The 16,066-nt window shown below is 49.8% G+C and overlaps 1 protein-coding gene across 1 annotated transcript in view, besides 4 other annotated features; it reads right to left on the reverse strand.

The window, feature by feature from the left end:
- Window positions 473-532: an enhancer, noted in NCBI's record as "active region_7128". NCBI's record gives its function as "activates an Ori minimal core promoter by ATAC-STARR-seq in GM12878 lymphoblastoid cells {active_cell/tissue: GM12878}" and the evidence as "EXISTENCE:reporter gene assay evidence [ECO:0000049][PMID:35858748]".
- Window positions 4,405-4,544: an enhancer, noted in NCBI's record as "active region_7129". NCBI's record gives its function as "activates an Ori minimal core promoter by ATAC-STARR-seq in GM12878 lymphoblastoid cells {active_cell/tissue: GM12878}" and the evidence as "EXISTENCE:reporter gene assay evidence [ECO:0000049][PMID:35858748]".
- The window catches only part of GCN1 (GCN1 activator of EIF2AK4), a 67,514-nt gene continuing 59,185 nt past the window's right edge, over window positions 7,738-16,066 (reverse strand). Inside the window, exons 52-58 of the mRNA NM_006836.2 lie at window positions 15,069-15,262; window positions 14,827-14,941; window positions 12,462-12,558; window positions 11,721-11,869; window positions 11,182-11,289; window positions 9,812-10,030; window positions 7,738-8,510 (exon numbers count right to left, since the gene is read on the reverse strand). Coding sequence (NP_006827.1) covers window positions 8,385-8,510; window positions 9,812-10,030; window positions 11,182-11,289; window positions 11,721-11,869; window positions 12,462-12,558; window positions 14,827-14,941; window positions 15,069-15,262 — 1,008 coding nt within the window. The 3' untranslated portion in view covers window positions 7,738-8,384. The remainder of the gene's footprint in view (window positions 8,511-9,811; window positions 10,031-11,181; window positions 11,290-11,720; window positions 11,870-12,461; window positions 12,559-14,826; window positions 14,942-15,068; window positions 15,263-16,066) is intronic.
- Window positions 13,384-13,433: an enhancer, noted in NCBI's record as "active region_7130". NCBI's record gives its function as "activates an Ori minimal core promoter by ATAC-STARR-seq in GM12878 lymphoblastoid cells {active_cell/tissue: GM12878}" and the evidence as "EXISTENCE:reporter gene assay evidence [ECO:0000049][PMID:35858748]".
- Window positions 13,644-13,843: an enhancer, noted in NCBI's record as "active region_7131". NCBI's record gives its function as "activates an Ori minimal core promoter by ATAC-STARR-seq in GM12878 lymphoblastoid cells {active_cell/tissue: GM12878}" and the evidence as "EXISTENCE:reporter gene assay evidence [ECO:0000049][PMID:35858748]".

Consider the following 16,066-nt stretch of genomic DNA (forward strand, 5'->3'; position numbering starts at 1 on the left):
GACATACTCATGAGGAAATTGAAAGTATAAGACAATACAGTAGATAGAAAAGCTGTCAGATATGCAGTCTAGACTTCAGAGGAGGAAAGCTATAGCTTTTAGTTAGAATGATGGGGAGAAGATTTTATCATAAAGATGTCATGATGGCACTGGAATAGGAGAGCTTTGAGTGTCTATTTAGACAGTCCCTGTCACAGTCTATGAGAATCATCATTTGGCTTGGAGGGGAATTCCCTGCAGGCCAGGGTATGTGCCTGGCATCTCAAAATGAATCAGCACATTTTCTTCTGGAAACATTGTTAGACATTTATTTAAACTACAGTTCAGTGATGAGTTATGTTAAGCTTTCTTTCTCCTTCTCACTGTATACATATGTAAACTTGTGTGACCTAAAGGATCAGTGTGTCCAGTAATGGGAAACTTTGTTCCACTGCTCTGAACAGCTAACTTACAGATGAACTTTTGCAACACCACCTGTTTGCACATTAGAAACTATTAATACGATGAGGAGGCATTGAAAGTTTTTGAGCAAAGAGGCAATCTCAAAATATTTTAGTGAAGTAATCTGGCAGGGTGCAGGATGGATTTCAGCTGCAGAGCTTTAAAGGTTATTGCTGAAGCCTGGGTGTAAGGTAACAGCAGGGACAGATGCAAAAGACAATAAGCAAACTTATAAACTAGACAAAGCAGCTTCCAAAAAAAAAAATCACGTAATTTACCTGGTAACTGGATTCATCCTTAATTCAGTAAATATTAAGTGGCCGGGTGCAGTGGCTCACGCCTGTAATCCCAGCACTTTGGGAGGCCGAGGCGGGTGGATCATGAGGTCAGAAGATCAAGACCATCCTGGCTAACATGGTGAAACCCCATCTCTACTAAAAATACAAAAGAATTAGCTGGGTGTGGTGGCACACGCCCGTAGTCCCAGCTACTCGGGAGGCTGAGGCAGGAGAATCACTTGAACCTGGGAGGTGGAGGTTGCAGTGAGCCAAGATCGCATCATTGCACTCCAGCCTGGGTGACAGAGCGAGACTCCATCTCAAAAAAAAAAAAAAAAAAAAATTTGCACAGTTACTAGGTGTTAGGCACTGTAGTGGGCACAGAGGCTAGAACATGAACAAAACAAAGCTCCTGTCCTCACGGAGTTTACAGTTTAGTGGGGAACAAGTCATTCACTCATTCAACAAATACTTGAGGGCCTACTATGCCAGACATTGATCTACGAGCTGAGGATTCAGCAGTAAGTAAAATTTTAAAATCCCAGCTTTCATAGAGCTTATATTCTGATAGAGAATACAGGCACCAAGTATGTCCAAGGAGAAAAGTAAAGCAGGGAGCACGCTGAGGTTTGCAGAAGCAGGCAGTGGAGCCACAGAGGTGGCAGGAAGTTTGGCAGTGGATGACAAGAGAAACAATGCTTGGTGGTGAGAGCAGTGGGGCTCATGAAGTATTTTTCAGGATAGTGGAAGCAGAGGATTAGCAGCCAGGAAATAATAAGGAGTGAATATTTGGAGGGAAGATGAGCTAAGGGCGCTTCAAAGAGCTTTGGGAAGTAAAGTGTCACCAACCAGAAGGCTAAGTGGGTAAAGGAGAGGGGGACCTCAGGCCCTCAAGGGTAGCAGTGTCAGGGATGAAGATCAGTGCAGTGGAGGTTGGAGGGACCTGTGAAATCCATTATTTCAGACAGCAACATGGACTTCAAAGCTGCTGAGTGCTAGGTAGCAAGGGAGGGAACGTGTGCTGTGATCATCCAGGAAGGAAGCAGTGGGTGGTGAATCAGAACTCAGAGAAGGCAGGTAAACTGACCGACAGGGACTTTAAATTAGGAGCAAGATGGGGACCACTCAGCATACTGGTCCAAGAGGGAAGGAAGAGAGGATATGATATGATGCCTGGTGTCTCCCTCTGATGGAAGTGGAAACGGGCCCTTTCTCCCACACCTGCAAGCCTGATGCCACACCAAGAGACTTGGCAGTGGGCCTTGCCCTGCCCTGATGTAGCCCCCAGAAATCAAGTGAATGTAAGTTCCATGATTCCAGGGACCATCTCTTTATCTGTATCCTCTGGAGACCCAGTGCCTGGTAGGTGCTTGATACCTGTTGAATTAAAGTGAAGCCACACACACAGTGTGAGAGTTGGACAGAATGTCAGATACAATTAGTTGAACCCTCTCTTGAGTTCACTTTTTGGGGTGTGGGCCAAACTTGGGGTCTAACTCAGGGTCAGCTTCTTCCCCTGACTCCAAACCGTTTAGCAGGAATTTTCTCACTCAACCTTTATATTATTAAATCAGTGGTTTTGCAAGTGTAGTCTGAGGACCCGCAGGGCTCCCTAAGACCTTTTCAAAGGATCTTCAGAGTCAAAACATGTTCACAATACTAAGATGTGATTTGCCTTTTTCACTTTCATTTGCTTATGACTGTACAGTGTTTGCCAGAGCCTACATGACATGTGATACAACAGACCAAATGCAGAGCTGACATGCGAATCCAGACATTAGAAACCTAAAAAAATGTGGAACAATGCCACTTGAACAGTTTTGCTTTGTTGTTGTTGTTTGTTTTTGAGACTGAGTCTCTCTCTTGCCCAAGCTGGGAGTGCAGTGGTACGATCATGGCTCACTGCAGCCTTGACCTCCTGGACTGAAGTGAACCTCCCACCTCAGCTTCCTGAGTAGCTGGGACTGCAGGTGTACACACCACCACACCACTATGCCTGGCTTTTTTTTTTTCTTTTGAGACAGAGTCTTGCTCTGTCACTCAGGTGGGAGCTGGAGTGCTGTGGCATGATCTCGGCTCACTGCATCCTCCACCTCCTGGGTTCAAGTAATTCTCCTGCCTCAGCCTCCCGAGTAGCTGGGATTACAGGTATATGCCACCATGCCCAGCTAATATTTATGTTGTTTAAGTAGAGACGGGGTTTTGCCATGTTGGTCAGGCTGGTCTCAAACTCCTGACCTCAGGTGATCTACCCACCTCAGCCTCTGAAAGTGCTGGGATTACAGGTGTGAGCCACTGCGTCTGGCTGCTATTTTTTTTTTTTTTAATTTTTAAATTTTTTGTAGAGACAACAGTCTCACTATGTTGCCCAAGCTGGTCTTGAACTCCTGGCCTCAAGCCATCCTCCCACCTCAGCCTCCCAAAGTGTTGGGATTACAGGCATGAGCCACTGTGCCTAGCCTGGTTTTGACTCCTAAGATGCTAAATATCAATAGGTAAGATAGGTATACACAAGAGCTCTTTGGTGTCCTCAAAAAAATTTCAAAATATAAAAGGATCCCGGCTGGGCACAGTGACAAACACCTGTAATCCCAGCACTTCGGAAGGCTGAGGAGGGAGGATGGCTCAAGGCCAGGAGTTCAAGACCAGCCTGGGCAACATAGTGAAACCCTCATCTCTACAAAAAAAATTTAAAAAATTAGCCAGGCTGGGCACGATGGCTCACACGTGTAATCCCAGCACTTTGGGAGGCCAAGGTAGGTGGATTACCTGAGGTCAGGGGTTCAAGACCAGCCTGACCGATATGGTGAAACCCCATCTCTACTAAAAATACAAAAAAAAAAAAAAATTAGCTGGGCATGGTGGCGGGCACCTGTAATCTCAGCTACTCTGGAGGCTGAGGCACAAGAATCACCTGAACCTGGGAGGCAGAGGCTGCGGTGAGCCAAGATCACGCCACTGCACTCCAGCCTGGGCGACAGAGTGAGATTCCATCTCAAAAACAAACAAAATTAGGCAGGTGTGGTGGTGTGTGGCTGTAGTCCTAGCTGCTCAGGAGGCTGAGGCAGGAGGATCACTTGAGCTCAAGAGTTCAAGGCTGCAGTGAGCCATGAGCACACCATTGCACTCCAGCCTGGGCGGCAGAGCAGTACCCTGCATGTAAATAAATAAGGAGTCTTGAGGGCAAAATATTTGCGAAATGCTAGATTGAATCCTGCACCCCAGCTTCCTAGCTCCCTTTTTTGTGGGAACCCAAGTGGTAAGAAAGATCTAATGTAAATACATTCAAAACCCACAGCTTTCTCTTGTGGGACTGCGGGGCACAGCCCTGAGGAATTATCATGCACTAATTGTCCCTGTGACCAGGCCGCCATCTCACTAGAGAAATAGCTCACAGGAGGGAACCTGACAGGGACTGGGGTATCCATTCAGGCACAATCAGGAAGGTCTCACCTAGAAATCCCTCTGAGGCAATCATCCCTCAGACCAGTTTTTCCAGTGTCTTGAGCTGTGTTGACATCAACACTCCCCTTCCCCTGGGGCAGGCAGCAGGGACCCTTCCTAACAGAACCTAGGGGCAACTCAGAGCCACCCTGTGAAATAACTGGGCTCCATCTCTTAAAAAGTGAAACCCAGTCACAGGCCAAGAACGTGGGTTTCACTTTTGTTACATTCACCTTCCAAATTATTTTTGTAGAATGCCCCTGGGGCTTGGTGAGCGGAGAATCAAGAAATATGGGTTTTTTCCCAGTTCTGCCAATGTGACCTCAGAGATGCTCCTTGCCACCTGTACCTCAACTTTACTCTTCATAAAATAAAGACCACGTCCTGCCGGCCTCTCTCTCTCACGACGGTGGGAAGCACCGATCTAAGTGGTGGTAATGTGCCTTCCTGCCCATGCACAGTGGAGACCATCTGTGTGCTGATGTATGTACACTCAGCATTTTGGAGAATCAAACATAGTCATCATCATCATTTCTCAAAATCAATCTCATTCCCCATCATCCTTGTTTCACTGTCACCATCCATGTATCCAGAACCTCCTATGTGTGCCTGGCTCTGTGCAAAGTGCATTATGTCATTCAACACAGATGACAACACGGTGAGACTGCGCTGTCAAGGTGAGGGGATGCACTCAGAGAGGTTAAGGAACATGGTCTAGATCACACAGCTTAGTATTAAGCAGTGAAATTAAGGTTCTAACCTGTCCTGGAAGTCCCTGTGGCTCCACTATCCTGCACTAGAACTTTAAAGCGGTATCTACATTTCCTTCACAATATTTTAGAACTTAGACCTTTTAAGTTAGATTGGTTCCTCTTTTTCCTTATTGAAGCAATCTGAGACACATCCACAGAGCCATACATTGAGGAAAAACATTCCTAACTGCCAATTGTGTTTCAAAATCTGTCAAATAATGTCTCCAATCCCTGCACCCAAAACTGTCAAATCTGCAGCCTCCCTGCCACTCTCCCAAGTCCTCCCGCATCACAGTGTTGGACAAAGAGAATGTACCTGAAGGTCTGGTTCCTTGAAGGGTTGCGTGAACCATGTTTTAACAATACCCCCCCACCTTTTTTTTTTTTTTTTTTTTTTTTTTTGAGACGGAGTCTCGCTCTGTCGCCAGGCTGGAGTGCAGTAGCACAATCTTGGCTCACTGCAACCTCCGCCTCCTGCCCCAGCCTCCTGAGTAGCTGGGACTACAGGCACCCATCACCAAGCCCGGCTAATTTTTGTATTTTTAGTAGAGACAGGGTTTCACCATGTTGGCCAGGCTGGTCTTGCTCCTGACCTGAGGTGATCCGCCCGCCTCGGCCTAATACCCCCACCTTTTAAAAATAATCTTGCTGCCCATGATTCCTGAGGCTCCCAGAGTTAGGTGAAGGTTTGGGAATGCTCAGTTTAGAACTTTTTCAGTTTTCTCTGGATAAGGGAATATGACTTTGTCATTGACTTTCAGACACAAGAAGAGAAAGAGGGACAGTCTCCCCTGGAGGATCACTGCGAGTCTTTGAGAATAATCCGCTTTCTCTGAAGACTTTCCCAGCCAGTGTCCTGTTAAGTGGAGTGAGGTCCTCCTCCCCACAGCCTGCAGAGCAGCTGGGTAGGGTCTGGAGGGGGTGGCATCCCTGGGCAAGGCGGCTGGAGCTGTTCACTTAGTGTGCTATACACGTACTAATTTCCTGTATATACCTGGATGGAAAAGTTCTGGAGGCTCTAAAGAATGAAAAATGCTGATGGCTAACTAGCCGGCATAGGAGAAGTTAAGAGAAAGGCTAAAAACAGAGGTCTGGGGACAGGCTGCCATTTACTAGCCATATGACCCTGGGCGAGTGGCCTCTCTGTGCCTCAGTTTCCTCCTCTAGAAAATAGTATTGAGAACCCGCTTCATAGAACTGTTAAGAGGACTAAATGAAATGATAGCAAATGTCATCTGTTGTAAGTACCATTAACCTAGAGAGTACCACCACCTACAGAATAACTTTGAGAATAAATTTTTAGAGCTTCTCTTCCAAATTCTTCATTGTACATAAGAGGAAACCGGCCCAGGGAGGTCAGATGACTTGCCCAAGGTGAAACAGCTCTACCAGCCTCCAGGACAAACAGCTTTTGCTTCTCTGCTGCTAACCTCAATGTCCCCAGGGTGCTTGGTCTGGGCTGCTGTTCTCAGGACTGCTAGGACTTTGGGGTGACAAGGTCCTTTCTGTGGGCTCCCCTGGCATGTCCATGACAGCCCTTCATGGCTCACTTCCTGGGAGCTCACACCCTCCTTCCAGACTCAGAGAATGCAACTCAATATGCTCTGGGAGCCTTCGAGTCATCCCCGTCTGTCAGTCAAGCTCCATCCATTCCGAACAGAGAGCTCATCCTCCTCCAGTTTCTGGAACTGGTATCTGGTGTTTTTCCTTTGGATTTTGCTTAATGAGTGTCTGATACCTCTAAGTACGTCAGGTTCCCCTCCCAGTTGCAGAAGGGGGGCTAAAAGCCACAGGTGGATATCAGCATCTGATCCAAGACCCTGGAGGAAACAGTGAAGATGGTCTCACAGCTTAACAGGTTTCCCAGCTCATGCCCCTCAACAGAAACTTTTCCCGTATCTCCCCATAGCTGACTGGTGGTGGAGAACACATTTGCAGACAGCCTGATGGACACATGCCCTTGGCAGTTGGGAGGATGCTGATGACCATCCGAATTCCAGAGGCAGAGAACAGTTACCATGGCTACCAAAAGTTGTAGCCATTGGCTGTTCTGGCTACAAGGACTCAGCTGACCTCTCAAGGTCCCTTCCAGCCCTGGGATTCTACAGTTACCTCAAGCCAGCTGACACCATGTCTGCTGCAAGAAAATAGGGCTCATGAGAAGTGCCTCAGAGGTCACCTTGCCTTATTCATTGGAAGTGTTGAGTCACAGGCCTACTTTCCACCTTGGCTGCATTATTAATAACCAAAGTCTTGCTTTTTTTGGCATAGCATTTTTATACCTTTTATAAAGTGAGTTTGCCACTACCACTTTTTCTCTTCCTTTTACAGCTCAGGCCAGTAATTTTGACAGAGGTTTGTCCTGTATTGTGGCCAGGGAGCAGCCCAGAAAAACTTGCGTCACTAGGCCCAGTGGGGTGTGCTCCATCAGACAGAATGTGTGTGTCACGAGCCTTCTAAGAATCAGGAGGAAGGAAGTCATTCATAAAGGAGGCAGATGCTGAAATGCAACTTTGGCTTCCTCTTCCAAGTCCTTCAACTATAGGAATGTGGCCCTTTCTTATTCACAGAGGGGCTGGATTTCTCTTTACAACCTGAGTACCAGAAGCTCCCTACCTTTCCAAGTCAGAACAGAACAGGAAAGTGGCTAATTCGACCTTTGCATTCTCCACACTGGGGGAGATCACAGGCCAGGCTGCACACCTCTCAAAACCCAACCTCAGGACAGACGTCTACAGGGAATGCTAAGACTTTCGAAAGCAGGAGAGAGATATGTCCAGAAATCAGAGAACTGTGAATACTTACAAAAACAGGTACAAACCTTTCCTTATTCCTGATGCAGGAAGCTTCATGTTTAATGGGTGGAGATTTTTAAAAATCTGTTTATATCAAGATTAAATCAAAGCCTTTATTAAACATTCCTCTTTCAAACAGCCTTTCAAACCTATACCCCTCCCCAGACTTGGGAACTGCCAGAGCTGTGAATCATTTTCATCTGACAGGGGTCAGATCCATTCAGACCTCACAATATTGAAAAGCCAAGCCAGACACACCACACTGGGCAGAGATCCACCGTCTGTGCCCCACTCGGGATATAGGAAAAAGGTTGGTAGCGCCAGCTCTCAAACCAGAGCTCAAGCACAGGAGAAGAGGAACCCACAGTCTGACCCTGCTATTATAGTTCCAGACCTAGCCATGCTAAACTGGACAAACAGCTCCTGGGCTGCCATTTGCTGAGGCGCATGCGTGTGCTTTTCCTTCTCTTCTCCACAGGAAAAGGTGAGAGATGGAGGAGGCAATTTTCAGTTGTGTGTGGGTTTGATTTAAGGCTTTGGCTGTGGTCTATTGATATTAAAATACTTTCTGGGAACGCCATCTTCCAAGCTCCCCATTGGAACAAATGTATTTTCAAAAATGAAAACATTGAGCAAAGATGTGGAGCGGCAATGCTGCTGCTGGCCCAGGCCTCTCATGTCAGGATGGTGTCGTCCACCTGCTCCGTGGAGTCGGCCTGGCTGGCCAGCTTCTTCAGGGACCTTCGGTTAACCTCGTTCAGCACCTCCAAACTGGCCACATCCAGGATCTTGGAGAGGGACTGTGGGGAAGGATGAGCAGGAGGAAACATAGTCAGAACATACGGCTGCCACGTTCTCCAATTGGAGAAAGACAAAAATGAATGTTAACCCCAGAACTAGAGACACTGAGGTGGACTCTGGCAAAATAAGGGAATCAGATGGATCCAGGGAAAGCCAATGAAAACACTCATCATGCTTTTCTATTTTTCCCTTTTTCTTAGAAACAGAGTCTCCCTATGTTGCCCGGCTGATCTTGAATTCCTGGGCTCCAGTGATCCTCCCACCTTGGCTTCCCAAAGTATTGGGATTACAGGCATGAGCCATCGCACCTGGCCCCATCATGCTTTTCATGAGACGAGGCAGTGGGAGTTGCAGCTTTTGGGCTTTTTTTTTTTTTGGAGATGGAGTTTCGTTCTTGTCGCCCATGCTGGAGTGCAATGGCACGATCTCAGCTCAACACAACCTCCGCCTCCCAGGTTCAAGCGATTCTCCTGCCTCAGCTTCCCGAGTAGCTGAGATTACAGACATAGCGCCACCACACCTGGCTAATTTTGTATTTTTAGTAGAGACGGGGTTTCTCCATGTTGGTCAGGCTGGTCTCGAACTCCTGACCTCCGGTGATCCGCCCACCTTGGCCTCCCAAAAGTGCTGAGATTACAGGCGTGAGCCACCGCGGCTGGCCAGCTTTTGGGCTTTCAAGGCTGCTGGGGGCTGGGGACTGAGTGAACACAACTCTGGGTTTCCTCTGGGCAGCTCTCCTGGGATCTGCTATGTCTGTTTGGGTGTCATGTGAGATTTTATTTGAAGAAAGGGCCCTGCTCGGAAAGAAGTCTGAAAACCATGGGAATGTATGTTTTCAGGTACTGGGCCAGTCACCCAAATCTTTTTTTTTTTTTTTTTTTTTTGAGACGGAGTCTCACTCTGTCGCCCAGGCTGGAGTGCAGTGGCATGATCTCAGCTCACTGCAACCTCCGTCTCCTGGGTTCACGCCATTCTCCTGCCTCAGCCTCCTGAGTAGCTGGGACAAAGCCGCCCACCACGCCTGGCTAATTTTTTTGTATTTTTAGTAGAGACGGGGTTTCACCGTGTTAGCCTTCATCTCCTGACTTGGTGATCTGCCCGCCTCAGCCTCCCAAAGTGCTGGGATTACAGGCGCGAGCCACCGCGCCCGGCCCCAGTCACCCAAATCTTAATCTGCTCCTGAAAGCTAGCACATCCGTGGTGGCAGAGAAGAGCCTGTGGTTTAAATATTTCCATGCTGAAGAAGAGCTGAAAGACAAATGCTCACAGCACATCCTGGTGAGGCCCCCCAGGCTCCCACCTGAAACACCTCTTCACCCTGCCGCATCTTGAGGAGGTTGACAATTGCCTGGTCGCTGTAGGCCCTGACCACGGTGTTCTTATCCTTGGTGTTGTCAAGAAGAGCCTTCAGGATGGGCTTGATGGCCTGGGGGTCCAGGGGAGGCAGTGGGTCCTTATTTGCCCACCAGATCATCTTCTCAGCCACCAGCCTGATGTCGCTGGATGGGTTCTGCAGACACTGTAAAAAGAACCACAAACAGGCTTTTGGATAGGCATGTCATCTATTCCTTGAAGCAGCCCAAATGCCCAGCCTCGACACTCTCCCTACAGCATGAACACTGACCCCCCCTGCTCCTGTGGGAGGGTCCCAGCATGACTCGACCCTGGTTTCCTGCACCCTCATCTCATGCCACTCTCCCCTTGCTCACTACTCTCAGCCCGCATGCGTTTTTACTTCCTCCAACATCCCAGGGCCTCGGGCCTCTGCCCTGGCTGGTCCCACAGCTTGGGCCGTGCTTGCCCCGGATCCTCTCTAGGTTAGTTCCTTCCCATCCTGCAGGTCTCAGCTCCCATGTCATCCTTTAGAGGTGCCCCCTGCCAATCTTATCTATATCAGGGTCCTCCCCATGGGCTCCAGGGATCCTGTCTGCCTTGTTCATCTCTACACCTTCAGGATAATGCCAAGTGAACAAGCGGGTGCAGGCTGATGTCATCACAGACGAGGCTCAATCGAATCAGGCCCCTCAGAAACTCCGTGGGTTCCCGGTGCTGCGGGGGGAGGCAGTCACTCTTGGGAACCTCATTACTCAAGGCAAGGTCCATGCACAGCACCACTGACACTGTTGCTGAGAGCTGGTTAGAGTACCAGGCATGGCCCCATCTCACTAAAATACACCCTGGCTCTGACTTCTGTGCACAGTAATGCTTCAGAAGCACGCCATATCACACGGGCCACAGGAGCCCTGCTGGCACATTCCTTGGCTTTCCTAACTAGGGCCTGGCACATAGCACAGTAACCACACCAAGAAGTGCTGGGCCAACTAGAAGAGGAAGGAGGGAAAAGAGAGGTATTAAGATGGGAACCCAGGTCTGTATCTAATTTTACAAAACTACGGTGCCTAGAAAGAATGCCTAAAATAGCGATTCCTAACTTGATTCAGAGTCACGGGTCAATTTGAGAATCTGACAAAAAGTTAGGCTTTATTGCAGTGTAAAGCACACACAGAAACCCCCTACATTCCATCCCTAAGTGTTCAGCGATCTCCTGGAGGCCGTCCACGGAGAACTAGCACACAACTAGTTGAGGGCGCACTGCTGGTGGTCTCTGATCCTAGGACCTCCTCACAAGCCAGGTGTTAGGGCTTAAACACATGCTTGGCCCCCACTCACCTTAACGAACAGGCTGGAAAGTTTGGCCGGCAACTGCCCTCCGCCTGTCTCGATGTGGTGTCTCATGAGAAAGCCCATGCCCCGGACCCCGCTCACCGCAATGGGGATCTGTGGAGAACAGACAGCGCTAGACGGGAGGCCCCCCACCCCTTCCCCAGAGCCAGGAAAACCCCAGTTCCTAGTAATCTCCAGGACCCTCCACTACATCACCACCACATCACCCCTTACACCATGACAGCTCTCAGGCAGGCTGCCCCGGCTGAGGCAGATGAGTACAGTCACTGGTTCCCAGGAACAGGGATCCAAGACCTGACCCAGAAGGGGCATCTAGATTCTTCAACCCAAATTCCTTGTTTAGATGATGAAACTGGGGCCCAAAGGGATCAAGTGCTGGTCCAAGGGCACAGCAAGTTACTGACAAAGGTAAAATTAGACCCAAGCTTCTTAAGCCCCAGTCTGGGGTCCACCCGCGCTGTGTCCACAAGGTGCTGCCTATGGGATGTGGCCTATGCCTATGGGATATGGCCCGAATGCCTTACCCTGTCCGCCGTGGCACTGCTCAGGATCATTTCCTGAACATCACTGCTATATCTGCCGGCACAAAGTCTGCCAGGAGCCACATTCACAGCCACGGAAAGTGCCAGGCTCCGCCCGTGCCGAACCATCCAGTCAATGCCGGACACGTCCGCTGGGTGGAAGGACACGACTGGGATCAACCGGTATTTTACAGCATGTCCCCAGCACCCATGAGGCCCATGGGCCCACCCCGCTGGAGACCAGTGTGCTGACCCAGAGCACAAGGAAAACTCCAGGCCACATTCACATGGACCTCCCTGCTATCTTGGCAGAAGCTCCCCAAAGTGGCACATTAAGGAAAGTAAGGAAAGCCTGCTCATGAACCACTCCGGGCTTACAGCTGTGTTCTTTGAGCAGAGACACTCAGGGCTACGGGACCACTGCAAATTCAGTATTGTTTGTTTGTTTTAGAGACAGGGCCTCGCTCTGTCGCCCAGGCTAGAGTGCAGGGGCGTGATCAAGGCTCACTGCAACCTTCAACTCTTGGGCTCAACTGATCCTCCCACCTCAGCCTCCTGAGTAGCTGGGACTACAGGTGAGTGCCACCACCCCTGGCCTGGATTTTGCTTTAACTGCTGGATTCCCAAGGAAAGGACAGTCCAGTTGCTAAAAGATCCTCTGAGGGAGGGAGGGAGATGCCCGTCGACTCTTCGCTAGGGCTGAGAGGCCCAGGTCCCTGAAGGGGAACTCTCCAGTGTACTTACCCAGCAAGCACTGCTGTAGAACGGCACTAAGCTCCTCTTCAGTCAAAAAGGCACACAGTTCCCCTAGGCACCCGGCTGAGGAGATGCGAGTGTTGTCCTGACAGGGAAGAGAAGGGAGTGAGGGGGTGCAGGGAACAACACCAGCTGTGTGGGAACCAAGGCAGGCAGCTCTAGAGCCCAGGATGGACAGCAACAAAGAAGGTGGAAAAGCCAACTCAGAGACTCAAGATCCAGTCCTTCCTGTAGGCACTCGTGCTCCCCTGCCAGATTGGGCTGCCACTGGTATGGAGTTAAACATTACACAGCCAGCACTTCACTTAATTATAGAAAACCCCAGTGTGTATGCATATGGTAATCATCCTTGTAATAGCAGTAATAACTGTATTTACATAGCATCTTTCTTCTTAGGAAGGCTGAATGTTTCATATTTATTATCTCAATTACTATCAACAGCCCTGTGAGGCAGGGAGGGGCGGGAGGGGCAGGAGGGGAGGCACCTGCCCCCAGCCACCAGGGAAGCCGGCTAGAGACGGCCACTCTGAGCTCCTTTCTCCCACAGAGTTTGTGTCATCTTGTGGCCAGAATGACTCCTGCTATCTCCCTACTGCATGAGTGCCCCACTGCCACCGAAATTACTTGGGTTCATCCTAGGAAGTCAAACTAAAGCCACTAATCAAGCCAAGGAAGATAAGGAAAGGCAAGCACTTCCTGTTCAAATCAGAGCCAGGTACGCGAGCGGCTCCGTGCTCCTCCCTGGCCAGCTAACTATGGAATACCAAGAGAGGATTTTAAGTTATGTTCCTTATTACAGGTGCCAACTCAACATGTCCCCAAAACAAACCACCAACCAGGGACTCAATAACCCAAAAAGCTAATGCCAGGCTGGCACCCTGAACTGCCACCTTCAATCTGAGTGGAGGTTCAGAGGGTAAGAGAATGGACTGCCAGCAGTTTGGGCCTCTGAGCTCGAAGCAGAAGCCCAGGTGCCAAGCTAAAGCTGGCTCTGACACCGACTCTCTCCAACTTCATCTATTTTAAGCTGCACTGTGGTAAAATGCAAATATGTTTCAATACTAACTTTTGCTTGCACTGTACACATGACTCTGTAGAAGCCCTGAAAGACTGTGACCAAGACAGCAGACTTTCCTGTCTGTCCCCACAGAGAAGGCTGGGGCTGGAGTCCGACAGCTGGCGCCTGGGGACCAGAACTAGGCCTTTGGAGCCATGGGAAGTGCAGCAGCAAGTGTGTGTGTTGCAGGTGTGGGCAGGAGGAGTGTGTGTGGGTGTGTGTGTGTGTCAATGACGTGTAAAACCATGTGAGCCCAAAGGCCCTCTCCTCCTAGATTGGCCCTACAAAGTAAATTAGACCACAACAGAGGGCTGTCTGAAAAGGGAACAGAAAACTCTTCTCCATAGACTCAACTCCCTACTGGCCCCACAGTGCTCGCAGCCAAATATTTGACAGATGCTTCCAGACTAGGTGAGGCTGATGGAACTGGGACAGAACCAGGAGTCCAGGGCTTCTGGTTTGGACTCTACTACTTGCTGGGTATGGCCCAGACAAGTCTCACCCTCGAAAATAGACCTCTAAGACTTGCCACCGGGACACACCCTGGAGACCATTTATCCCACTACACACTAAGTTTCTTGAGGTCTGTGACCACGAGGTCTATGCACCTCTGGGATAGGCCCTTTAGCTCGGCAAATGTTTCACAAAACAATAAATAAACCTCTTCATTTTACAAAAGTGGAAATGAGAGGCAGACAGAGAAAGTGACTTCTTTAAGATCAGAGAGCAAATAGGTGAGAGGTCTGGGTCTCTACAAAGCTTACTTGCCTCATCTATAAAATAGAAATAACCGGCCGGGCGCGGTGGCTCATGCCTGTTAATCCCAGCACTTTCGGAGCCCGAGGCGGGTGGATCACCTGAGGTCAGGAGTTTGAGACCAGACTGACCAACATGGTGAAACCCTATCTCTACTAAAAGTACAAGTATTAGCTGGGTATGGTGGCGGACACCTGTAATCCCAGCTACTCGGGAGACCGAGGCAGGAGAATCGCTTGATAGGAGGCGGAGGCTGCAGTGAGCCGAGATTGTGCCACTTCACTCCGGCCTGGGTGACACAGCAAGACTCAGCCAAAAAACAAACAAACAAACGGAAATAACCAATATATCCACAATACCTGCCCCGTTTCCCTTGAAACCCGAGGAAATGTTGGTGAAGCATACAGGGTGATAGAAATGTCAGGAATGCTTATTACTACTGAGCTGTACTGGTTCTAACACAAAGTGAAGAACTCAACCTAAGGAGGAGGAGGGAAACCAGTGGTCCAGTGCTGCCACTAGTCCTGCCTGCAGCCGTACCTCATCGTGTCCCAGCATGCTCAGCAGGAGTGAGACGATGTTTTTCCGGATGACGGCATCCACTTTGGCCCCTGCTCCCTGAATCACAAACCTCAGGGCCTGCAGCATGGTGTCCCTGCAGAAGCAATGCACCGCCTTAAGCCCTGGGTGCCTCCACCACCACCCCTCCTGCCAGCGCAGGCTCGGCCCACAGCAACCCCTGGCCTCCTGGAGGCCACAGTGCTCCCTTGCCAGCGCCGTACCTGACACCTGGGTCCTCCATGGCGCGGATGCCATTGAGCAGCTCTGTGAAGAGGGGGTCCACCTTAATGTGGATGGAAATGAGCTTCCCCAGAGCATCTGCGGCCTTCAGGCGCACCCCCCGGTTGGAGTCCTGCAGGGCTTTGGTGAAAGTGGTCTGCAGCTGGGGCAGGAAGGGCTTCAGGGCAATCCCAACCTGTGGGAGGAACCCACATCCATGAAAGACAGTTGTGGTAGACCCAAAGCCACAGTGTACCACAGGCATGAGAACAAATGACAATCCCAAACCACCACAGCGAGTCCAGCTCTCATACAGGGCTGGGGACAGATAGCCCGTCAGAGAGGCCAAACACAGACAGGTTTCGCTTGGCCTCCTGGTCATATCCAGCATGCTTTGATACACTGGAGGAGCAGGAGGCCGAGGAGGCGGCGGCCGCTATCTGAGGGAGCTGTCTCGCAGCCTTGGCTGCGTTGGGGTTTGGCTTAGTGGAGACCTGTCCATATCGATAAGTGACTCAAATCCTCCTCTGAATACATTAACAAGCAGGGCAGACTATCGGCAGTACTGAAGCACAGTTCTAATGCCAAGACAGGGAAAGGGACTCAGTGTATAATTGCAGAGCCCATCTACTGAGCAACTGACAGCAGGATACGCACTCCACATTCAGCCCTCAGAACAAGCCTGTGAAACAAATGACCTTGGAGAATCCTCCCTGCACAAATGTGTACCCACCTAACTAAAAATCCAGTTCAACCCCTGACTATACAGAAACACAGGCACACTTTTGATACAATACAGGTGGGTCCAAGAGTAAAGATTTACTTACTGTTTTTTGTTTTGTTTTTTTTTTGAGACGGAGTTTCGCTCTTGTTGCCCAGGCTGGAGTGCAAGGCGCGATCTCAGCTCACTGCAACCTCCGCCTCCCGGGTTTAAGCAATTCTCCTGCCTCAGCCTCCTGAGTAGCTGGGATTACAGGCACCCGCCACAATGCCCGGCTAA

The sequence above is a fragment of the Homo sapiens genome, chromosome 12, assembly GCF_000001405.40.
Source record: "Homo sapiens chromosome 12, GRCh38.p14 Primary Assembly".
In the NCBI taxonomy this organism is placed as follows: domain Eukaryota; kingdom Metazoa; phylum Chordata; class Mammalia; order Primates; family Hominidae; genus Homo; species Homo sapiens.